Source organism: Homo sapiens, chromosome 1 (genome assembly GCF_000001405.40).
Source record: "Homo sapiens chromosome 1, GRCh38.p14 Primary Assembly".
Lineage (NCBI taxonomy): Eukaryota > Metazoa > Chordata > Mammalia > Primates > Hominidae > Homo > Homo sapiens.
The window spans coordinates 189,774,538-189,801,048 of NC_000001.11; the positions used below are offsets into that span (position 1 = coordinate 189,774,538).

Here is a 26,511-nt window from a genome sequence, read left to right on the forward strand (position 1 = left end):
TAAGCTTTCTTGAAAATCAGAAAACATTCTGAATTTTGTTCACTAATAAATTCCAAGAAAATTCAAGACAAACTGGTCTAATGTAATTAAAATAAACAAGAAGGACAAAGAAGAGTAGGAGGAGAAAAAGAGGGAGAAAAGTTATTAATAGCCTTGTAATTTTAAGTTTGGAGAATTACAGAATCTGAAATGGAGAGAAATTGAAAGGCTAATATTAACCTGATTCAGCTATATTTAATTTGGTAAACATATGAAAATGTGCTTTCAGATAGTAGGCAGTGAATGATTACAGATATATACAGGTCTGTTTGGCCAAGAATGAGTATACAGACGATCTCGGCATGCAGTGTCAGGTTGAAGTGCAAATAAATGTGAGATGCCAGAGCACTCATCACATTCTAGGCCTTCAGTAAATATTTGTTGAATGGATGAAAGGTAAACTAAATACATATTTTTAGAGATTTTTGGAGGCTGCTTTCCTGTGGACTCAGAACTGTTACTTCACATTTTTTTCCTATAAAGATATTCTGCTTCTCTTCTCTCAGAGGTAAACATGAAACCCAGCCTCACCAATGATAATTATCACTCAGATGTACACAGTGACTCTTCAAGGGATAAGCACATAATCCAAGTTAAGCAAATCAACATTTTCTGTAGAAATATTTAATTTGGAACTGAGAAAAGCACATTTTCTGATGTGGTTTTTTTCTTCTGTTTTGCTTTGGAGTTTTGAGATTGTGAATAGTGTGTTGCGAGTTGTCACACCTCCTTCAATACATGCTGATCATCAGAGAATAAGCATGACATATAGAAATAAACCAAAATATCACATGTTGGGGAACCACCTCCCCCCAATTCATGTTCTTTTCATTTGAAAAAGAAAATTCAATTAATGTAACTCAAAGTCTCTTCTATCCTCCTACACAGAAAAATAGAATGACTCATCCACTGACGTGTTTGGAAAGATTAAATTGGACATACTCATTTCAGCTCTACAACTTTTTCTGGAATGGAGCAGCTTGTAAGAGGTATGAAAAGAATTCCACCATCATTGCCTGTGACTGGAAGATAAGTCTGTCTAAATCAGTGGTTCACTTAACAAGTCCACTTGGCTGTGCTATCTAAGCTATATCTTTCAACTTAGCATTATCAGTAATAATGTTGACTGCCATGACTTATTCTCAATTGATTCAGTAACTTGACTGATAAGAGGAGTAGCAAGTGCTTGGTCTTTTCAGAATATCACAGAAAGTAAAGCCTAGAGAAACAATTTTCTTGCTGTTTAAATTTTTGATCCTCTCTATCCTTCAGGCCAGCTATCACCCTACTTATAGGTAGAATAAATATGCTAATACATCTCTTCTCTTCTCAATTGAATTCCATTTGTATTTCTGTCACATGCTAAATTGATAAACCTGAAGAAAATGATCATGTTTATTCATTATGTTCTCTTGCACAGACTAGTTAAAATATCACCATATTTATATAATGAGAGTGATAGGTTGGCTTACTTTTCTCATATGAACTCTAAATATATAATGTTATCAGTGCCAAAATGTAAATCTGTTTTCTTTCTTCGTGGGACTCACAAATGTGGTATGCTTGAGCGCAATATTTACTTTATAGACTTTAATACCGTTTTTAGTATAAATTGAAAAACAAATATTTTATAAGCTACCATTTTCTGAAATACAGGTCCTTTTGCCTAGTGCCTCAAATGATCGGAATAAATATGAATTGTTCTCATATTCACCAATTCTATTAATCATTGATAATACGTGTAATTGTCATCAAAGAATGTTTTCTCAGGCTCATTTATTTCTAATTTTTTCCAGATGCTTATTTCTTTATTTGAGTATAACTTGCCTGACACAATTTGCTTGTGTATTATCAATGTGCATAAATAATAACATTGATCGATGTAGCATTTCCACAAATTTTATTGTTTGATTAAAATTTTACTTTGGAAACATTATGAACAAACTTACAGAATTTATTAATCTAATTGTGATGTTTTAGATGTCATATTTATAATTTTTACCAATAAAATTTCCTAAAATCTTCCTTAAATTCATGAAAAATTGTGTACTGATATTTGACCAACATTAACTATATATTCACGGTTACAAATAATACTTGTATAGCTGTTCTTGGCCATTTTAGGAGTCACAGACTAATTTGAATGTCTAGAGAAAGCTCTCTCTCCCTTCTCTACATTATTACACATTTATAGATTTTAAAAAATGTATTGACTTTCCTGATGCCCACCCATACACCATTTTTAATTTACACATCCCGAGGTAAGGAAAGAACGTCAGGCAAGTATATGATATGGGCACTTGCCTTATTCAAACTTCAGCTTATATTTGTATAATCTTTTTCCTAATGTAGTTGTGAAAACTTTACCAAGGTAGCAAATATAGTGTTGAACTTTTCCTTTCATTCTCTTGGTTCAATTTTATGTATATGCTTTAGGTTTTCTCATCTTGGTAACAAGCAACTTATATCAATTGCAAAAAAAAATCTGTCTTTTGATTGGTAATGTCTCAAAATTTACTGTTGGAACCTTCATCTGCAGCATTTCTGAAATGTAAAAATTCTGGTTACAAGTAGCTATTGTATTGATCCATATAAAGCTGAAACATTCAACTTAGAGTCTGCTAAGTTGTTACTTCTTATTTTGGTATAAGAATGACTTTTCTCTCTGTAAACTTCTCTTCAGGACATCATTAATTATTCTGCATGTTCTAAGATATGTGCTATGGAATGGAAGTGGATTTATTTTGCAGCCTGAATTAAGGTAAAGTGAGAGGAGCCTTCAAATTGGTAGAATCTGAAAATGTTTCTCTCTTGCATGATGGTTTTGCCTGTCTTACAGTCATCACCTATTTACTGCATCAGCCTGAGATTTTACTACCATAAAACTTCATGTCCAGTACCTTAAGGATTACATTAGCACAAAGCTAATTTTATTGTTTTGAAATTATCATTGGGACAAGCAGAATGTTCTCCCTACTCTGAATAGTTTTCAACAGTGAATTAATTGCCAAAGAATTCTTAGTGCAACCATCTAGTTGTTGACAGTAATTAAGCTTAAGTATTTCTTGGATTTACTAAGTGCCGATTGTATGCATCAAAAAGTCCTAATTCCTCAGCCAAGATTTCAGAATCTTCATATTCTGTTGCCAGTAAACTTATCCAAACTTATTTTTTATCTACTTAAAAAAGTTACCTTAAATGATCAGCAAATTTAACATCCCCTATTTATTAAATGTGTTACTTTTGCCAAGCAATGGGTTAAGTGTTTTATTTTTATATGCTATATACTCTTTGAAATAAGAACTATTATCATTCCCATTGTACATATAAAGACTAATAGGTCAGACAAGATGAGACACATTCATGGTGGTATGGCCATAGACAGAAGGGTAAATTAGTTTAACTGTTGTGGAAGACAGTGTGGCGATTCCTCAAAGACCTAGATGCAGAAATAGCATTTGACGCAGCAATCCCATTACTGGTTATATACCCAAAGGAATATAAATGATTCTGATATAACGATACATGCATGTGTATGTCCATTGCAGCACTATTCACAATAGCAAAAACATGGAATCAACCTAAATACCTATTGATGATAGACTGGATAAAGAAAATGTGGTGCATATACACTACAGAATACCATGCAGACATAAAAAGGAACAAGATTATGCCTTTTGCAGAAACATGGATGGAGCTGGAAGCCATTATCTTCAGCATACTCATGCAAGAACAGAAAACCAAATACTGCATGTTCTCACTTATAAGTGGTAGCTGAATTGTGAGAACACACGGACACATCAGGGGTGGGGCCTGTCGGAGGTTGGGGTGTTGGAGGAGGGAGAGCATCAGGAAGAATAGCTATTGGATGCTGGGCTTAATACATCATTGATGGGAAGATCTGTGCAGCAAACCACCAAGGCAGACATTTACCTATGTAACAAACCTGCACATCCTGCTCATGTGCCCCTGAACTTAAAATAAAAGTTGGAAATTTTTTTAAAAAAGATACGTAGGGCTAAATGGGTAAAGTGAATTTTCTAAGATCACAAAAACACTCTTGCCCACTTCAATACAAAAAATATGAATGATGTTTGTTGGACTGATTCAATGATGGATCCTAAAAATATGCCAGTTTTAGTGTGTTTGATATTCTTTATTTGTTCTTCCAATCTAGTATCCACCATTCTTACCTTCCTTGTTTCATGGGTATGAATGCGGTGACGTTATGAATGACATTAACTGATTTCTCTTGATTTCTAGCTTCCTGTTGTGGTCAGCTAATAGTGTCACTGAAAGAGATCTAGGCTACCATGAAGCTATTCTGCCAGTTTGTCATTGTGGCACAGTAGATCTAATGGTATTGAAAGTACCTATTGTAGATAAGAATGCTGTAAGGAGCCATGAGCAGGACTCTATAAGGGAAATAAATGTAAATTTTTAGGGTTTCAAAGCAAAGTTGTACCATTCTGCTTCTACAAAATAGCCGCTGGCTTGACTATGAGCCAGCCAGGTTACCATGGGACCTGATATGCTCAGCATAAACTGAGTGTTGTCTAATCCAATATACTGTAAGATTGGCAAGCAGACTCAGTAGCATCCCATCATTAAATGGAAGTGCTATATATGCTATTGGGCTTGAAGAGATTCTGAGGGAATAAGTAAGTCATGTGACCAAATGGCACATGACCAAATTCCCATGCCTCCTACTCTAAGTTGCCTCCTCCCTATAAATCTGCAACTATGGACTCCTAGGTGATACCTATAATAGGTTGACTGGGAAAAAAATAATAGGTCTGGTTGACAGATTATTTTTTACAAATATGCTATTACCTCTTGTAAATAGGTGGCTGAAGTATTATTTGCCTCTTCATGATGTCTCCAAGAAAAAGGATCAGAGATTTAAGCCTTGCTGAAAGCTAAGCATTTTGCTCACAGAGAGAGAGAACTAGCAAATGAATTTACACTGAGTATTGAGAGTGGCTAATATTTTGGCTGGATAATCAGAGAACTGAAAAAACAAAGTTGGAAAGTTTGGAGGTCTAGGAAAGAAGGTCTAGGGAAGAGGTACATATTAGACATCTCCGAATGGGCATAGAGTGTGAAGCTACTTGGGTTTCATGAGCAGCTCACTAAGAAGCAACCATAGAAGAGTAAAATGTTAATAATCAGGTGGACAAGTTGAAATGTTCTGTAATAGGTGCTGATCTTTTCCTTGTCATATAGACTCACAAACAAAGCAGCATGGTGTTGGGAATGGAGGTTTTGCATGGGTTCAGCAACAGGAATATTCACTTGCTAAACCCTTCCCACACTGCCAGGGGCAGAGGCAAATACTGCATTCCCAACATGGCATCACTGCCCTGGAAATATGGGAAAAAAATCATCCAGCCACTTCTATCATGAAAAGAGAAATGCTTACTTTTCTTTGAAATAATCCTTTGCTCTGGATACAAATTTGCCTTTTTTGTTAGCAATGCTTATGCACAAGTCACCTTCTGTGGTCTTTGAAATATCTTTTTCAACATTATAGAATTACACATAGCATTACTTTTGACTGGGAAACTTCTGTTAGAGCAAATCATGTACGGCAATAGACTCAAAATCATGGAATTTAGTGGTCTTACCATGTTTCCCATCTGTAGCCTGAGATGGAAATAGAACGGCCTTAAGAAGGCATAGTTTTAATGCTAGCTGTATTGGCAACACCTTTTGGGGCCGAAGTAATGTCAAATGTTCTCCCAGAAGAGCTATATGCTCCAAATCAGCATCAAATATGGTATAATTTCTTCCATAGACAGAAATCATAGGTAAAGGAATCAAGATGTCACTATTCTCACTATTACTATTGGTGATTATTTTATTTTTGTGAAATGTTTGCTTCCCATTTTCACAATTTGGGGGTCTACTGATTTTGAAGTTTTAGTTCCCAAAGAGGAATGCTTTAATGAGGGTACCAAGCTTCAGGTATGTATTTGTTATATCGCTGGAATAGGAAAAACTGTCAGCAGAGGAGGCTGAGAGAACTACAGATTTAACTGAAAAAGAGAGAGAGAGAAAGAGAGGTGATAAAAGGAAGGAAGGAAGGGAGGGAGGGATGGAGGGAAGAAGGAGGGAGGAGCTTAAAGAAATAAGTGGTGGTCAAGTATGGAAGATTTTGTTTTTCCTATTGAGCAATGATTCACCATTTTTAGGTACCTAAAGATTTTTCATTGAGGATGACCCTGCAGTTGGTACTGTACAACCAGTAGTCAGGCAGTTATTCAAGGTGCTCATCATGCCCTTACCCTAGGAAATGTATGGCTTTATAACCCAAACTGGATTACAAAGGCTGGAAAGGTCAATTCAACCTTGCCCCTGTAACTTTAAACCTTTCCAGAAAAACATGTAGATGGGAAATTGTCATTAATTTTTCTTTATTATTTTATTGACAATGTACTGAACAGATAGTTACTAGTTTTTGCTACTTATATCTAACAAGCATCCATGGTTTCACTTCTTTTCTGGAACATAGGTAGTTAACATTTCTTTTAATTTTATGAAATATATTTATTTTTGCACTTTGCTGAAATCACCTGGGTAATTTTTTATGGCTTACAAACACTGAATTAAAAGATTACCTAAAATGAGGATAATATATAGAATTTGGCAACTTGTAAACTAGCATTGATCTTGAAAAAAGATGTTTGACTTGTTTCATGAGTACTGACATGAGGTTAGAAATTGAGGAAATGCAGGCCAGGCCCGGTGGCTCGTGCCTGTAATCTCAGCACTTTGGGAGGCCGAGGCGGGCGGATCACCAGGTCAGGAGATCAGGACCATCCTGACTAACACGGTGAAACTCCATCTCTACTAAAAATACAAAAAATCAGCCAGGCGTGGTGGCGGGCGCCTGTAGTCCCAGATACTCAGGAGGTTGAGGCAGAGCTTGCAGCGAGCTGAGATCGTGCCACTGCACTCCAGCCTGGGTGACAGAGAGAGACTCTGTCTCAAAAAAAAAAAAAAAAAAAAAAAAGAAAGAAAGGAAAAAGAAATTGAGGAAATAAAGACATTGAGTACAAACTTTTTTGAGAAATCTTTCTGTGAAGGAGAGTGACTTAGTCCAAATTGTGCTGCTATAAGAGAATACTTTAGACTGGGTAATTAATAAAGAACAGAAGTGTATTTAGCTCATGGTTCTGAAGTCTGGGAAGTTCAAGATTGGGTGGCAGCATTTGGCAGTTGGTGGTGAGGCCTTCTCCTGTGCCAAAATATGACAGAGAAATGGAAGGGGAACCAGCCACATGGGAAAAGTTCAAAACAGGAGCAGCACACTTGCTTATAACAACCTGCTCTCACAGGAACCAATGCATTCCGGTAAGAAGAAAAATTCTCTTCCACCTGTGAGATGGCATTAATCTATTCAGAAGGGCAGTGCCCTCATAATCCAAACAAACCCCACTATGCCCTACTCCACCACTGCCAGACTGGGGGTAAAATTTCAACATGAGTTTTAGAGGAGACACACTCAAACCATAACAGGGAGCAAAGAGATTGCGCGGGAGTTGAAGAAAGAAGTTATATCAAAGAGAGATTTATTTCCCTTTTTTTCTTTCAAATAAAAGAGCAGAATGTGTTTTTGTATTGATATAAACAAAATTTTAGTCTTTTTTTCAAAATTAATAAACCTTACAAATTTAAAACATAAAGGTCTTTAATTAAACATAGAAATCGTATGCTTTTATTTATGAATCTTGCAAGTTTTAACATTCACTGTTAATATTCACTGTTACTTTGAGTAAGCCTACAGCCTAACTCCCATGTTTTTAATAATGAGACTGATTGAATTAGTGTAATAGGCCTGTGTGCTCGGTTTTTCCATCAGCTCAGATTTGCATGCTTGCTTTGCTTTCTAGCCTGAGCAGCTTCAGCAACAGTTTGTGCTGTTCCCATGACACTGAAACCTAATCACTGCATTGCCAGATTGAGGAGCCCACTACTGGAGCTGCTCAGACACCCCCCAGTTGCTCCTCTGAGAATACAGTCCCCCAACTCTTGCCGTCTGCCTTCAGGCTCTCCTTGGACTGTGGCAGCAGATGCCAAGAATACCCTCTGGAACCTACAAGCAAAGCCTCAGTGGAGTTCATGGCTGGCGGAGTAGACTTTGGGCAATGAGAGACAGGAGTCTGTGGATAAATTCTTTTCCCTTCCAATTGCCAGATAGACTGGTTGGAGCTATGGTAGTTCTATATAACTCCACATAACATTTTCTCTTTCTCTATCTCACTTTCATTTTCCTTTATTTCTGTTTCCTAAATAATGCAGTCCATGCCGCAGGGTTATCCCCTAAGATTATGCCTCAAGTCTGTTTTCTGGGAAATGAATCCTATGACAGCAAGAATGTCATAAATATGACATGCACGTAAAATTCCATATTTGCACAGATTTCTTAAAAAATGTTTTAACTTTCATTCTCTTAAGTATTTGTATATGTAAATCTAAATTTTCTTCTGGATAAAATATGTTTAACCACTACACAGATCATTCTTATGATCACCCACATTTTGAGGAACATTTACCATATATTTTGGGGAATTACTTTCTAAATTTGCATGACTTCCTTGAAGACCATTTTTGATAACCGTGATGAAGATTAAATTCTGGATTAAATTCTGGTTTTCTAGCACTGATAGGATTTACTAGCCAAATTTATAGTCTATAACGGATAAACAATAATTCAAAGAAAGTAGTGGCCATACAGCCATGCCTCTGCGTGTCATATATGTATACTATGTTTTTTCTTCTCTTAACCCTGGCTGCTGTATTATTTGATTGGATTTATATTTCTTTAGATTTTTAGATATTTTAAGTCTTCTCTCATAGCTCAAAAACATGCTTGCTCTTGGTGAAAACGCTTTTCTTTTTATTTTCTTACCTGTTAAAGCCATAAAATCTATAAATCTTTGAGATTCTCACTTGGCTTTGCCTGATTACATAATTGTAGAGCTCTAATAAAATCCTTCCCAAACTTAAGCGTATATGAGAATCATCAGGGATTACTGTTAACACATGGATTGTTGAACCTAGTCCCCAGGGTTTTTGATTCAGTAGGTTTGGGGATGGGGCCAAGAATTTTAATTTCTTACAAATTCCAAGAGGATACTGGTGTTTCTGGACTGCCAATTTAACCTTGGAAACTACTGTTCTAAAATAATGTCAATGACATGTACCTTAAGAAATCTTACTACAGAATTTTAAGTTAAAAGTGGCCACATACTCCTGTCTCTCATTGACTAAAGTTTATGCTATCAGCCATGAACTCCAAGGCTTTGCTTATATAAGGATATTGATATGGGATAGTCAAGTAGACAAGCAAAACAGAAAAATCTATGGGGAAAAAATGTAACAGGATATTTGATGATATAAAATTACATTTCTTTCTCAAATAAGACACAATAAATATAAAGACTGACCAATTTAACCTTTTTATTATAACTACTCTGCTTGATAAAGTTTTCCATAATTAAATTGAATTGACATTTTCAAGTATTGAGTGAATATTTGCAACACATATAACTAACAGTAGAATAATATTCAAAATAGAGACCCAACTTATATGTCACAAACAAAATTATCAATTACTCAATAGAAAAATAGAAAATGAATATAAAAATTAAATATATAGGAGTAAATATCCCAAGTTTCTACGAAGCTAAAGAGATAATCACATTAATAAGAAGAATGCAAACTAAAGTGGCAAGACACTGCTCCACATTCATAGATCAGTGAAAATTTCACAAATTTTTTTTACATCAAGTATTGATAAAAATGAGGAGAAACACTTTAATATTGCAAGTAGGATTATTACTTGAATTATAACTTTAATGGAACATAGGGAGAGTTTTTTGTTTATTTTTTAGCCATTCTGGTGGGTGGGTAGTGATATCTCAATGTGGTTTAATTGTTGGGTTTTGATGACTGTCTAATGATTGTTAAATAATTTAAAATTTTCATTGATGTACTACATTTATAAAATAAGCATAGCTACATAAATTCAATGAACAAGTTTAGTCTTAAGATCAAGCTTTGTGGTAAAAGTTGAACTCTAAAATACTAAATAAGACATGGTTGGTGCTATATTCATTATTACTCATACACATTTTGGAATAATTTTGTGGGTGTCTTGGAAATGCATGTGTCTGTACAGAGGTTGAGATCATAATTCTTGTTAGAGGTGTTGAATTTTCTTATATGAACTGACAATGCTAGAATATCTTTGCAAGCTATAATGATTTAAGTAATGTAGATGTTTGTACTGGTAACAATATTTATTGAGGATTTACAAACTGCTACTAAGTTATGTGATTTTAATGATTAATTTGTTTATCTCTTATAACAACAGTATTAGGTTTCTTTTTCTTCAACAACCCATATAGAACTTACCATGTGCTAGGCACAGTTTTCAGAACTTTACGCCACTAAACCCCTTCAATATTCATAACCACACTGTTGGGTAGTACTGTTATATGTATTTTGCACCTTTTTAAAGGGAGCCACAGAGGTTTGAGCAGGTAACATGCTTCACACACTACTAATAACGTGAGAGCCAGAGTTCAAAACCAGCAGTCTGGCTGCAAACTCTGTTCACATAACTCCTATGCCAAACGTCCTATGAAAAAATAATTCTAACACAAACAAGAAGAACAAGGCCAATATAAATCAGTAGCGTTAAAAAGCAAACTCTAAAGTAGGCAGTTTCATTCCCAAATTTGTTCTTTTAACCATGCACAGTGGCTAATAATAGTTTTCATAATAATAGCTAATGTATAATCAGAAGTCATGATGCTCCAATCACTGCACTCAACACTTCACATGAATTATCTCATTTAATACTTAAAAAGTGAAGTATACCTAATACTTAAAACAGTATTATTCATATTTTACAGATAAGAAAACTGGGCATTAAAGCAAATTAAGCAATTTACACAGGTTATAAAACTGGTGATTTTCCTAACCAAATACAGACACAATTATGCTATATAGTTCAAAATTTATTTTAAATTCTACAACCCTAGGTTCAGATAAAACAACAACATTGGTAAAACAAACATTCAAAAATTCCTCTTTTAAAACTTCTGTTGACAACTCCTTTTTGTTGGATACATCATAAAAAATTTGTTATGATCTAAGCTTCATGAGCTCAAGAGACCTTATTCATCCCAGTGGTTTCTTCATTTATTCAACAATCACTGGTTGACACTTGCTATTCATTCTTTCATTTATTCTTCAACGTAATTTGCTGAGTGCCTAGAATATCCCAAGAACTCTTCAACACACTGTGGATGTGAAGTGAATAAAAGAAAAAAGGACCCTGGTTCCATGGCACTTATATTGTAGTGAGTGGTTTAAGGGGAGAAGGCTGGTAAATAACACCTGAAGAAGCAAGATCATTTCAGAAAATGGTAGTTACTACAAATTCAATCCAATAGGGTAGTTTGTATAAAATGAAAGTTGTGATGGCAGTTGTAAGGAAAAGGCTTTTCAAGACAACATTTGAGATAAAACATGGGTGCTGGGAAGGAACCAGTCACGTAAAGATTTCATTCCAGGGCGAGGAAACATGAGGAAACATGAAGAAACAGGCCCCTGCAAGCACTGTGGGGATAAATTCTTTTTATTCCTATTTCCATCTTTCTCATCTTGGACTTCATTGTGGGAAATAAATCTTCTTGTAGTTTCCTAACTGATCTCTCTACCTTCATTCTCTCTCATTTCCATTTTAGCATTTACTCATCTGACAGACTTAACTTTTTGAAGCATGACTATTACCATTTAATTCACTTGTTTGAATATTCTCATTATTTTCTGTCAGCCTGTAGTGTCACAACCAAATTCTGTAGACTATCATTATAATCTTTACTTGTTCTTATGGCAATCTGCATTTCCAGCCATATTTTTTTAGCATTCCCCTTCATCTCCACTTACCTCAGTCAAAATAATGTATTCAGTGTTCTTTTACATCACTTCATATCTTAGATTTTGCTCTTTTTGTTCTCTTATCCTAAATTCCCTTCTACCCTGAATCTACACATGTCCAAAATGTACCCATATTTAAATGGCTAATAGAAGTTCTAACCCTATTCTACGGTTTTCCCAAATGAGTAAATTATTTGAAATATTTTGCCATGATTTCCATTCCAGAAATGTAAAAAGGACTAGAGAAATGATTTTTTAAAATAGACATTTAAGAAGATACATGATATAATGCATATTTGTTAAGTTTTCTTTCTGCCCAGCTTCTCTTTTTAATGACTGGAGGATTTATATCTTTATAAATAATGCATCTTCTACGCAGGAGCCTTCATCGTCACTGCTGTGGGTCCTTTGAAGTCAGAATAAAGGCTTCTGACCTTTGGCTTCAACCGAGGAAGCATTTGATTTTAAATGAATGGGGTATAGTTTCTGGGTGGAAACACACACACACACACACACACACACACAAACACACAAACTTAAATTCTTATTGCCAATTTGACATCCTTCGAAAATTGTAACAGTCACTTCAAGCTTAAGGAAATGCGTATTATTTTATGTATTCTCCAACTGATGTCACCACTAAAACTCAAAGTAAAAAAAAAAAAAGAAAAATTGACATCTATTTTCTCACCTTTGTAAAAACTGTCTTAATGCACCTGCACTATCTTCAGGAAATATGGGGAATTATACAAAGTTTTAACGTCTTACTATTTTTTTTAAAATTAGAAATGACTCTGAATGAAGCATGATTTCGTTCTCTGTGAAACTGCTTTGAACTTACTCCACTAACGCGGATTCCGCCGCTTCGTTGCTAGGCAACCAAGTTCAGATTGCTACTTTGCCTTTGCGCTAAGAGTAAACAGGGCCACATGATCACTTTGCATTTTTTAAAGCATAATGCACATTTTTTTCTTTTTTTCCCCTCAAGATCTGTTTGTGGAAGCATACAGAATTTTTTTAAACTTTTCTTTTTAAAGCAGTTTTATCTATTATATCTGCGTCCTTGGTGAATCTACAAACTATTTACATTCTACATCTTATACCTTACAATTTTTCTACTTTGTAAATTTTGGAACTTGGCGTTTATATCTACTTTTTATTCTCAGTTTAGCAGGATTTTAGTTGTTTCTTTCTTTCTTTTCCTTTTCTTTTTTTTTTTTCTTTTCTGAGATTGAGCCTCGCTCTGTCACCTAGGCTGGAGTGCAGTGGTGCAATCTCGGCTCACTGTAACCTCTGCCTTCCGGTTTCAAGCGATTCTTCTGCCTCAGCCTCCCGAGTAGCTGGGAATACAGGTGCGTGACACCACACCCAGCTAATTTTTGTATTTTTAGTAGAGACAGGGTTTCACCATATTGGCCAAGCTGGTCTCAAACTCCTGACCTCGTGATCTGCCTCCCTCTGCCTCCCAAATTGCTGGAATTACAGGCATGAGCTACCACGCCTGGCCAGTTGTTTCTTCATTTAATAATAAAATATTACAACATTAATAATGGAGATAAGTTTGAGAAACAAGAAATAATTCATCAAATGTTCGCCATATTCAAGTTATTCCTTGTGAGACAGAGAACACAGTGTGACTAAAGCAAACAAGAATCCCTTCCCTTATGATTTGGTTTGGCTGTTTCCCCACCCAAACTTCATCTTGAATTGTAGTTCCTATAATCCCCACTTGTTAGGGTAGGGACTTCCTGGGAGGTGATTAGATTGTAGGAATGGCTTCCCCATGCTCTTCTCATGTTAATGAGTGAGTTCTCACAAGATCTGATGGTTTTATGAGGGGCTCCCTGCCACGCCACCTTTCTTCTGCACTTCTCTCTCTTGCTGCCTTGTGAAGAAACACGTTTCCTTCCTCTTCCGCCATGATTGTAAGTTTTCTGAGGCCTACTCCACCATGCATAACTCTGAGCCAATGAAACCTCTCTCCTTTAGAAATTACCCAGTCTCAGACAATTCTTTATAGCCGCATAAGAATGGACTAATGCACCTTATGAAGTTTGCATTCTACTGAGGGAAGTTAGACAATACATATGTGAAAAAACAAAAAGATAACTATATAGTTGGTATTGATAAGTTTTAAGCAGGAGAAGATCCACATTTTGTGGATTATATAACTCTTCTATAGTTTGATGGCAATTTTTTAAAAAATTATAAATATTGTGGATACAAAATTAGAAGTTCTTTGAAAGAGCCAGTGCAAATGAGGAACTAGGAATTGTAAGCATCATCAGTTTCACCATATATCCACCATTTCTGCTATTGTGGAATACAAACTCAGAAGAGTGCTATGGAGCTCAACGTGGGTGGGCAGTTGCAATTTTGTACTCTGTGGCCAAAGAAAGCTTCAATAAGAACATGACACTTAAATAATAACAATAATTGAGGAAAATGATGTGGTTGATAAGTGGTTATAATTGCTTGGTACTAAAAGATAGGAAGCTGAGCTGGAAAGACAAGATAGAAGGTGGTTGTTGCAGAGTGGAATGCTTGAAATTGAGATCACAAATGATGACGATGTTATTAACAACAAAGGATAGACTTTTCTGTGGGAATGGACAACTGAAGTAGAATGAAGAACATGATTACTGGATAAATGGAGGTCAAGAAACTGAGTAGCGAAGTTATTAGATAATTTCCATGAATATTATGGTAACCTGGAATAAAGCAATATTAACTTTAGATGGCATAACAGCCAGGTGCTAAAGCTTTTTATTCGTGGTGAAAAATGGGCTGGTAGATTGTGATGGTGAGGTTGAAATATAGTGGGAAGGGGAGCAGGGACTGAAGTCTCTACAAGAACACTCAGAGTTACACGTGTATGTATTCCTATGTGCATGACAGCAAAAAAGGATAGAAAGTGAGTGGTGTAATCTGGTGTCAAAATTTATGACTGGAGTAATTTAGTGACAAGAGAGGAATAATATTCTGCAAACCATAACAGAGAGCATGAGTGTTACCAAGTCCACCTTCAAGATCTTTAATATGTAGTTTGTGTGGAAGAAAACGACTGTCACTTGGGAGTACTATGAGGGAAGCAGTAGCCTCAGTAAGATCTGGGTTTCAGTTCCACTAAGAAGGTGAAGGCAATTTTTCAAAAAAGATACTTAGAATGTAATGTATTTATCTGATGACCGAGCATGATTCCCTGAAGATATAATGGAAAAATTTCAAAGTTGAAGAGCAGCTGACAGTAAATGACAGGCACATCTTTAGGACAAATAGATTCTCCATGATGATGAATAATATGAGATTCCTGGTCTATTGGTTAGGAATGATGTACAATGGAATCATGGAAATTTGTCTTGATGGTCACAGTGAAGATTCATGGTTACATACACATATGTGTTTATTGTATCTGCATGTAGGTCATACATAATCATTATAGATGTATGAGCATATTTGCAAACAATCACAAAAAAATAGGCATTGACACTTGCAGACTAAAGGCTAAAGATGAAACAGTTATATCGTATATGTTACTTACCACTAGCTTATTTCCTCTGGAGTCCCATAAACACTCCTCCCATGAGTCAACCCTAGCAATAGGAGTCTATTATTACACCCACATTTCAGAAGTCTGAAGGAAGTGAAAAATTCTGTTATATCCCATTAGATCCAATGAATACCATAATTTACTGCACTGCTATATTTGTTGATCAAAACATTAAAATGTGTATATACTTCATATAATTTTTCATTAAGATTTATTCAAATGAAGTGATTTATTCATTAACGGAAATAATATTAAGTAGAAGAAAAACAGGAAACAACACAACACATTCTCACATTTACAGAGCTAGCTCATGAATTCTACCCATCTACTAATGGTAGATTTTACTGAGCAAACGTTGAATCTATGTTTTGTGAATTCTTGCGTTTAAAAGGAAAAGGACTGTTTCATAAAAGCATCTTGTACTCCCTAATTAAATTATGAATTTCAGAGGTAGTTCATTGTATGACTCATTGGCCTTTATCTCTCTGGTTCTCTAATTTAAATTGAATTCACATAAGCATTCCTAAAAACTGATACTGGTAATTTGTTAGTAAAAATTCACTTTGGAAAAGGATTTTGTAAATGTCTTTATCTCATTTGAAACATAAAGTAATTTAAGTGTTTCCAAAAACTCAGAATAAATGACAGTTTCAATAAGTATTTTTTATTTATGTATGTGAGTGAAAACTTATTTTCATTTTCAGAAATAAGCATTTTATAGAGTTGGCACTTTTTAAAAACTTTTAAAACCAATCAAATTTTCTGCTCTAAGATTTTGAATAGAGGGATATAGGCCAGAAGGATCACTGTGCACGTGAGGCATGGGCAAGAAAACTATGGGGCATGATAGCATTGAAGCTCAACTGTGGTTTTAATTTTTAGGTTATTTTGCCAGAAATTATTTCATAAGTCTACGGGAGATGTTTGTCTAGAAGGACATTTATAATTTTATAGAGAAATAAATATCCACATCCTCAGATAATCTAAACAAATTGTTTATGTGACTAAGTGTTGGGGCTGCAATTGGAAGGGTCATGCTAAGTTCTTTCTGAAGAATAATTTAAGCCTTAACTAAAGAAGAGAAAATGAAATATAGGAATGTTTTGGGAGGAGCTGGATCAAAAGGAGGAGTCTCAGGAGAAAAGGAGGGAAGAGAAGTGCGCTATCGGGTTAGAGTTTAGAATCAAGAATCCTTTCTGTGACAGGAACCCTATTTATTTAATCAGTTTGAAGCTTAAGAAGCACCAAGTCCAGCAGATGGAAAAAAAAGTTTTCCTCTGAGGAACACAATCTGAGTTTTCAGGGTCTATGGTGAATAAAAATTTTCATCTCAGCATTTCAGCCAAGAATGTTTTGCACCCATTTCCTGAGAGTAGTATTCTCTTATGTCTGTCCTGGGTAAACTCTACTGGAAATCTTCGAATTATTTCAAAATTCAGATATTCAAAGACACTTTGGAACTTTGAACTGTCATGTGTGAAATCCTTTTGTTCACAGGTGGGATGCCCTACTACCTGTATCCAGAAGCTTGTACCTCTCACCTTAGGGGAATGGAGAACAGCTTCCTTACCCATGTCCTGTCACTAAAATAGAGCAACTGAGTACAGTAGTGCCCCCTTGTCCATGGTGGTTTCATTTTCCATGGTTACAGTTATGCACAGCCAACTGCATTCAGAAAATAAGTGAGTACATTCTATTAACATATTTTGAAATCAGAGACCACATTCATGTAGCTTTTATTGCTGTAATTGTATTTATTATTGTTTGTTATGGTTCATCTCTTACTTAGCCTAATGTATAAATGAAACTTTTCATAGGTGTCTATGTATAGGAAAATACATAGCATATGTAGGGTTAGGTACTATCCAAGGCTTCAGACATTCACTGGGGGTCTTGGAACATATCCCTAGTGGATAAAGAGGGACTACAAAATAACTGAGATAGAAATCTAGTGGAACAAATAATGCTTTTGCACCACTGTTAATTTACATTCTTTTTCTTTCTGTATCAACTAATAATAGCAAAAGACAGATGTTGCACATGAATAATGTTGATGGAAATCTCAAATCACCAATATATGAAAAACAAAATGCTGAATTTATTTTTAATTTGTTAGTTTTTTTCTTGACTAAGGGAGAACTGTTTGTAAATATAAAAATTCAGCTCCTCACTGAACAAAGAAAATGAAAAGATTTTGGTATTTAGGATTAGGAAGAAAACTGGAGCTTGAATTATATTTAAACAAAGCAGTATTTTGATTAGAGCTTATTATTGAAATAATACATTCTAAAATCCAGAGTGGTGCAGTCCTAGGGCACCAACTCATTGAGAAAAGTTTAATGCAAAAAAAAATCTTTGAACACACTTGCAGCTTCCGGCGAATATGAGACATATCCTTCAGGAAAGCAGAATTTATAGATTTCTATGTAGGTACAAAAATGTCTTAAAGCAAGTGTGGAATTTCTTTGTTTTCATTCCCTCCCTTTGTCCTTTCTTGGCTAAGTCACAGGGGAGACCACTACATATTGTCCAGATCTCTATACTGTCATGATTCTCCTTAGGAAATAACACTCAGAATATAATACAGGTAGGACAAGTGATTCTGGAACTTTCATTTGTATTAGTGAATGAAGGTGACAATGTGGAATGACAGTACTTCACCAAGGAAGAAAAATGTTATCACAACTTTATTTCAATTTACAATTCTGGGAGGCTCAAGAGTCAAATCAAGCTCTGTCATGTTCCCTGGTCTGACAGTTCTCCTCTCTCCACAGCATCAAACAATTTGCTAAGAACTTTGCACTTATTAACTGATTTAAACTTTATAATAATTCTATTAGTTAAGCAAGTTATTACCCTCTTTATAAATTAAGAAAATAAGCCAGGGAGATATTCAAGAATTTGTTCAAGCTAACACAGTTCTAAATATTCAAGTAATATGTGAAAGTCAAGAAGAAATTAAAGATCAGAAAAAATAAATAAATATTTGCTATTATGGGGTTCCACCACTTGAATGTCTAAATATTGTACAATGGTGAAAGCTGTATATCTTGCATTAATGTCCAACACATTTAAATGGCTTGCCATTTTTGTATTCCACCTAATTGCCTTAATAATGAAATTTGAGTTTCTATGGCATTTTATTTTTTGCAAGTTATTTTACACTTTAAATGTGTGAACACAAACACAATGTAGCAACATATTATTATCAATATTATTCACTTCAGAAAATAAACTTTGAAGTGAGAATTAATAATATGGCATTTATTCTCTTCCTATTAGGAATTTATATGTATAATTCATTTATTCAAATTATACAATAACTTACTAAATAGTTTTAAAAGGTGGTTTCCATGAACTTTAAAATTATATAACCACTCATACCTTTTTTGTGTCTGTAACTAGAGAATGAATTGATTATATTTTTAGATTAATGACTTGTATGGACATTTAACAGGCAGAATTGAGGGAGTTGCTGGCATTTTTTTTTTTTTTCAACTTTTATTTTAGGTTCAGGGAGTGCATGTGAAGGTTTGTTATATGGGTAGATTGCATGTCACTGGGGTTTGGTGTACAAATGATTTTGTTACCCAGATAGCGAGTATAGTACCTGATAGGCAGTTCTTTGGTCCTCAGCCTATTCCCACCCTCCACCCTCAAGTAGGCCCTGGTGTCTGTTGTTCCCCTCTTTGTGTTCATGTGTCCTTAATGTTTACTTCTCACTTATAAGGGAGAAGCTGTATTTGGTTTTCTATTCCTGTGTTAATCCACTTAGGACAATGGCCTCCAGCTCCATCCATGTATTTGGAAAGAACATGATTTCCTTATTTTTATGGCTGTGTTGTATTCCATAGTTTGTATATACCATATTTCTTTATCCAGTCCACTGTTGATGGGCATCTAGGTTGATACCATGTCTGTTACTGTAATTGGTGCTGGGATGAACACAGGAGTGCATGTGTCTTTTTGGTAGAATGATTTATATTCCTTTGAATATATACCCGGTAGTAGGATTGGTGGGTTGAGTCTGTTCTACATTCTTGGGGAAATGTCCAAACTGCTTTCCACAGTGGTTGAACTAATTTACATTCACAACAGCAGTGTGTAAACGTTCCTCTTCTCTACAAACTCGCCAATATCAGTTATGTTCTATTTAATAGCCATTCTTACTGGTGTCAGGTGATATCCATTGTGGTCTTGATATGCATTTTTGTAGTGATGAGTGATGTTGAGCATTTTGTCATATGCTTAGTGGCTGCATGTATGCCTTCTTTTGAAAAGTGTCTGTTCATGTCCTTTGTACTTTTTTTAAGTGGGTTGTTTGATTTTTGCTTTTTGATTTGTTTAAGGTAATTTTAGTACCTGGACATTAGGCCTTTGTCAGATGCATAGTTTGCAAACATATTTTTAAATTCTGTAGGTTTTCTGTTTACTCTCTTGACAATTTATTTTGCTGTCCAGAAGCTCTTTAGTTTAATTAGGTCTCACTTGTTTTTTTTTCTTGTATTTGTTTCAATTGTTTTTGGAGTCTTCGTTATGGAATATTTGCCAATGCTTATGTTCAGAATGTTATTTCCTAGGTTTTCTTTTAGGTTTTTTTTTTGTTTTGTTTTGTTTTTTGTTTTTTTTTTGAGACAGAGTCTAACTCTTGTTACCCAGGCTGGAGTGCAATGGTGCGTGATCTCGGCTCACTGCAACTTCTGCCTCCCGGTTTCAAGCAATTCTCCTGCCTCAGCCTCCCAAGTAGCTGGGATTACAGGCATGTGCCAACATGCCCGGCTAATTTTGTATTTTTTTAGTAGAGATGGGATTTCACCATGTTGGTCAGGCTGGTCTTGAACTGGCCTCAAGTGATCCGCCTGCCTCTGCCTCACAAAATGCTGGGATTACAGGCGTGAGCCACTGCACCCAGATATTCTTCTAGGGTTCTAGGCACTAGGCCCAGCCATTCTTCTAGGGTTCTCATAGTTTTATGTCTTATATTTAAATATTTAATCTATCGAGTTGATTTCTGCATATGGTAAAAGGAATGGGTCCAGTTTCAATCTTCTGCATATGGCTAGCCTGTTATCCCAGCACTATTTATTGAATTGGGAGTGCTTTGTTCATTGCCTGTTTTATTGACTTTGTCAAAGATCAGATGGTGGTAGGTTTGTGGCTTTATTTATTTATTTATTTATTACTTGTTCCATTGGTCTATGTGCCTGTTTTTGTACCACTACTATGCTGTGTTGGTTACTGTAGCCTTACAGTATAGTTTGAAGTAGGGTAATATGATGTCTCTGGCTTTGTTCTTTTTGCATAGGATCGCTTGGGTTATTCAGGTTCTGTTTTGCTTCCATTTGACTTTAGAATAGTTTTTTCTAATTCTTTGAAAAATGATGTTGGTAGTTTGATAGGAATAGCATGAAATCTGTAAGTTGCTTTGGGCAGTATGGCCATTTTTAAAATATTGATGATTTCTATCCATAAGCATGGAATGTTATTCCACTTGTTTTTGTTATCTCTGATTTCTTTTGTTTTTAGTTCCGTTTATGTGATAAATTATATTTATTGATTTCCATATGTTAAACTAACCTTGCATCCCAGGAATAAAGTTTACCTAAATGTGGTGTATCGACTTTTTGATGTGTTACTAGATGTGATTTGCTAGTATTTTGTTGAGAATTTTTGCATCTATGTTCATCAAGGATAGTAGCCTGACTTTTTTTCTTTTTATCTCTCTCAGTTTTTGGTATCTGAATGATACTGGTCTCTTAGAATGAGTTAGGGAGGAGTCCCTCCTTCTCACGTTTCTGAAATAATTTTAGTAAGACTGGTACCAGCTCTTCTTTATACATCTGGTAGAATTCGGACTGTGAATTCATCTGTTCCAGAGCTTTTCCTTCTTGGTAGGTGTTTTATAACTGATTGAATTTTGGAACTTATTCTTGGTCTGCTCAGTATTTTTATGTCTTCCTGGTCCAATCTTGAGCAGTTGTATGTTTCCAGGAATTTATCATTTTTTTCCGGGTTTTCTAGTTGTTGTCCAGAGTGTTCATAAAAGCCTCTCAGGGATTTTTGTATTTCTGTGGCATCAGTGGTAATGTCACTTGTGTCATTTCTCATTATGTTTATTTGGATCTTCTTTTTTTCTTTATTAATCTGGTGGTGGTCTATAAATCTGATCTATTCTTTCATAAAAACAACTTTTATTTTTGTTGATTTTTCCCTATGGATTTTTGCACTACAATTTCTTTCAGGTCAGCTGATTTTGGTGGTTTATTTTCTTCTACTAGCTTTGGGCTTGGTTTGCTCTTGGTTTTTCTAGTTCCTCTAGGTGTGATATTAAGTTATTAACTTGAGATTTTTCTAACTTCTTGATGTAATTATGTAGTGCTATAAACATTTCTCTTAATGCTGCTTTAGCTGTGTCCCAGAGATTCTAGAATGTTTTGCCTTTGCTTTTTTGTTTAAAATAATTATTTTGATTTCTGCCTCAATTTTTTTTATGCAGAAGTAATTCAAGAGCAGGTTGTTTAATTTCCATGGATCTGCTTAATTCTCCATGGATGTGTTTGGAGAATGCCAGTGTACTAGATGGTCTGTTCTCCCTTGGTGGGCAAAGCTCTTCCTGGCTACATCTAGTAGGCCATCTTGGCTCTTCCCCTCCCCATTTTTTGGGGGAGGATATTGTTTATTTGGTGCTACATAAATTACTAGAAATAGCAACATATTAGAATCTCTGGAACACAGCTAAAGCAGCATTAAGAGGAAAATTTATAGCACTACATGATTACACCAAGAAGTTAAAAAAATCTCAAGTTAATATTTTTATGGGGTTTTAAAGTGTATTGGTGGAAAAAATGCTCTAAAAATACATCCATAAAAAGAAAATATACTTTTGGCTTTATTTCTCAAATGTATGTAGTATACAGCATAGTATTCTTTTAATGGAAAAAAACTATATATATATATGTATATATATACATATATACATATATATATAGCTATGTGTAAACTCACATACTTCTTATCTTGAATTAAATTATTCATTTTATAATGGTTTAAGAAATTTAAAACATAGGCCTATGTATAAACTCCCATTGCTCATAAAGATATACAACCAAAGCTAATTTAAAAATAAATTATAAACACTATAAAATTAATATTATTCAAATTACCAACATTAATTTAATGTCAGAAATAATATTTTAAGGACATAATTGAATTAACCAACAGTGATAGGTAAAGTTTATTTTTTAATTCAAGATGCCTACAGGTTATGCCCTATGATAGCTAAATTTTCATACCCATATTTCTACTCAAACACTGGTGGATACTTCACTAATCTAAATCATTTGGCAAGAATGCAGAATTTATATTTAATATGATCCTGTTGTTGTATCACTAATAGTAGGGTGTGGTATCATTTCTCTCTCATTAAATGGATATTGAGTGGATTAATAGTATTTTTAAAGCCAAAACTCAAGCTACCAATTTTCAGCTTCTATTTTTAAAGGTATTTAAAATTTATTTGTTTTAAGAAAAAATGTTTGTGAAATATTTAAATTTTAAATAAAGGTATTTAAAAATTATTTAATAATGGCCTACTATATACCAAGCACTGGTTACAGAGGATAATTTATACAATGTCCTACTGGTTACAGAGGATAATTTATGCAATGCCCATACTTTCATAGAGCTTACCTTCTAATGTAGGAAGATATGTGTATGTTTTTATATCTGTATGTTTGTGTTGCGTTTGTGTCTATGTATATCTATATCCACATCTGTATCTATGGATGTTGAATGAAAAAGTCAGGGTAAAGGGTGAAGAAGGGTGGAAACGCCAGGGTGCATTGTGAGATATGCTAGTGTCAACAGTTATAATTGCTCATGTATTGTGCCCATGTATAAATAAATATAATGATATTTAGTGTAGTATTAACATTAATAGCAAAATATGAAAAATATCCTAAATGCCCATCAGTATGAAACTAGTTAGCTAAATGTCAATGAAATAAAATATAACACAACATAATAAAATGGTGAATTTTCTATTTATGTAACAAAATGGAAAGTATATAAGCTACATTAATAAATGAAAAGGCAAAGAGCAGATTATTCAATATTTTATGCCATAATCTGCCAAAAAAACTAATATCCACTGAACTATTTATCTAGACTTTTAGAGGGAAACATAAGAAGTAAAATAATAGCAGTGGTTATCAGCTTGCAAGATAAAGTATCTTATATAGGTATCAATATTTCACTGCATATGCCTTTTTCTACTTTTTGATTTGAGAATCATGAGAATATTCTGTAATACCTATTCAGAAAATTGTATTAAAATGTCATTACATGATGCGTTAGGCCATTCCCATATTGTTATAAAGAAACACCTGAGACTGCTCGGGTGTGGTGGCTCACGCCTATAATCCCAGCATTTTGGGAGGCCCAGGCAGGCGGATCACCTGAGGTTGGGAATTCAAGACCAGTCTGACCAACATGGTCTCTACTAAAAATACAAAAAGTTAGCCAAGTGTGGTGGCGCATGCCTGTAATCCCAGCTACTCGGGAGGCTGAGGCAGGAGAATCGCTCCAACCTGAGAGGCAGAGGTTGTGGTGAGCCAAGATCGCACCATTGCACTCCAGCCTGGGCAACAAGATCGAGCTCTGTTTCAAAAAAAAAAGAAAGGAGAGAAAAGGAAGGAAGGAAGGAAGGAAGGAAGGAAGGAAGGAAGGAAGGAAGGAAGGAAGGAAAAAGAAAAGAAAGAAAGGGAAGGAAGGAAGGGAGGAAGGAAAGAAAGGTCCTGAGACAGAGTTATTTAGAAAGAAAAGAAAGAGGTTCAGTTGGCTCATGGTTCCACATGCTGTACAGAATGCATGGCTGGGAGGCCTCAGGAAATTTACAGTCATGGCAGAAGGCAAAGGGGCAGTGAGCCATCTCACATGGAAGAGCAGCAGCAAGATGGGGTGACATGCTACATACTTCTACACAACCAGATGTCATGAGAATTCACTCACTATCACAAGAACAGCACCAAGAGAATGGTGCTAAAGCAGTCATAAGAAATTGTCCCCATGATCTAATCAACTCTCTCCAGGCCCCAACTCTAACATTGGGAATTACAATTTGACATGAGATTTGGGTGAGAACACAGATCCAAGCCAATCTCATTTAAAAATGTTCTGATGGGCTTACACCGGTGTATTGGGTTCAGAGAGACCAGATGGGATAGTAGCATAGTGTTTGTTTTGAAATATGAGGGAGTTAACCATGTGTATGTTAAGAAGAGGTTTTCACATTCAGGATACATTTAAGAAGCCATTAAAAGAGTTAGCAAACTATAGCTCTTGGTTGAAACCATAACTTTGTCTAAATTTTTGTAAATAAGATTTCATTGGAACACAGCTATACCCATTCTTTTACATATTGTCTAGTGCTGCTTTCACATTGTAATAGTAGAGTTGAGTGGTTATAGCAATGGTTATATTGCATACAAAGACTATAACACTTAGAATATTCCCCTTTAGAGAAAACATTTGCTGGTTCCTCATATAGACCAGAGGATTTTCCAATGAACAGCTTGCGTGGTATTAAATAATGATGAGAGTAAAGGATAACACTGCCATTTTTAGCCTGAGCAACTAGCAAATTTGAAATTTGAATTACCATTTACTGCCATTTATTGAAACATGGATCACTTAGAATGCAACAAAGTCAGGGTGATGAAGACTAAAAGATTCAGTAGAATATAGGATAATTCCCTGAGTATGTCTGCAAGACTACGTGTCCACAGATCCCAGTTTGAGAAACAGTTGTGTAGTAGGATATGAGGAGTAGGATAGGAGGAGGGTAATTCTAAAGTTCTAAAACTAACAAACCTTTGACCAAATTGTTTAAACTTTCTGATTCTTGACTTTCTCACAAATAAAATCATATGTTCATCTTGGTAATCACTGGCCTTTTTCTAAACAAAATTCTGTGAAAGAGTTATGAAAATTTTACTACATGCATACAAATTCATTAGGTGTTCCTTTTAAGGGGTTTAAAGTTAAAGAATGATGCAGGGTAATCTACTTAAAATAACAGGTAATCTGCCCACTGAAGGTCTTAAGGTAGATGTTAATAAATGATTGTGAAATGAATGAATCAGTTTGCTACAATTTGCACATTACATGCTATTATATTCATAAAAGAATGGGAAATTAATATTCATATATATTTGTCATTTACATCTTTTTGAAATCCATATAATGCAATTCTATTTCAGTATAAAATAGCTTAGTTAATATATCACTATGTATATTTTGTATAAATATAAAAGCATAATACACATAGAAATGTCACACATACATTTGCTTTTGATTCAAATAAAGATATCATAAAAAATTTAACATTTTTGTTTATTAAATTGTATGGCATTGAACTTTAGGAACACTTACATGTCAAAGCTTATTAAGAGGGAAAATAACCAGTCTAGGTGTCATATAGATGTCCATCAAACTATCATCACACCTCCACTTTGCATTTTAGGTTGATAATTTAGCATCAACATAGAGGACTTTGATGACAAACAATTTCAGGGAGTGAAACTGGCAAAGAACATAAGGTATTCTTTTTCAAGTTTAACACCTTACCGTGATGTTTGACTTCAAATATAAATGTAGCTACAGTGTAATAAAAAAACAATTTTTTCAGTTGTTTACTATCTCTTCTCTTTATACATTAGAAACTTCCAATTTCTTTAATTTCACATTTAAAGGAAGTTTTGATATGAAGAATTGAAGATACAGATATGAAAGTACAATAGTCAGTTTCAGCATTTTTAATTGCCAGTCTGTTTCTCTTATGTTACAATTTTCAGGCCATTTTTAGGCCTTTCCAAATTACTAAATGCATTAAATGTTACCTGATCTGCTTTTTTTCATTGCTACCTATTTTTTTAAGTAATGCTGTCTTTATGATTTCTTTTTTGCCC

General features: G+C 34.8%; 1 long non-coding RNA gene across 1 annotated transcript in view; it reads left to right on the plus strand.

Moving 5' to 3' along the window:
* The first annotated feature begins 931 nt into the window (after positions 1–931).
* The window catches only part of LINC01701 (long intergenic non-protein coding RNA 1701), a 39,450-nt gene continuing 13,870 nt past the window's right edge, over positions 932–26,511 (plus strand). The window contains exons 1-3 of the long non-coding RNA XR_001737811.1: positions 932–1,028; positions 2,723–2,800; positions 17,042–17,226. This is a non-coding gene — a long non-coding RNA (long intergenic non-protein coding RNA 1701). The remainder of the gene's footprint in view (positions 1,029–2,722; positions 2,801–17,041; positions 17,227–26,511) is intronic.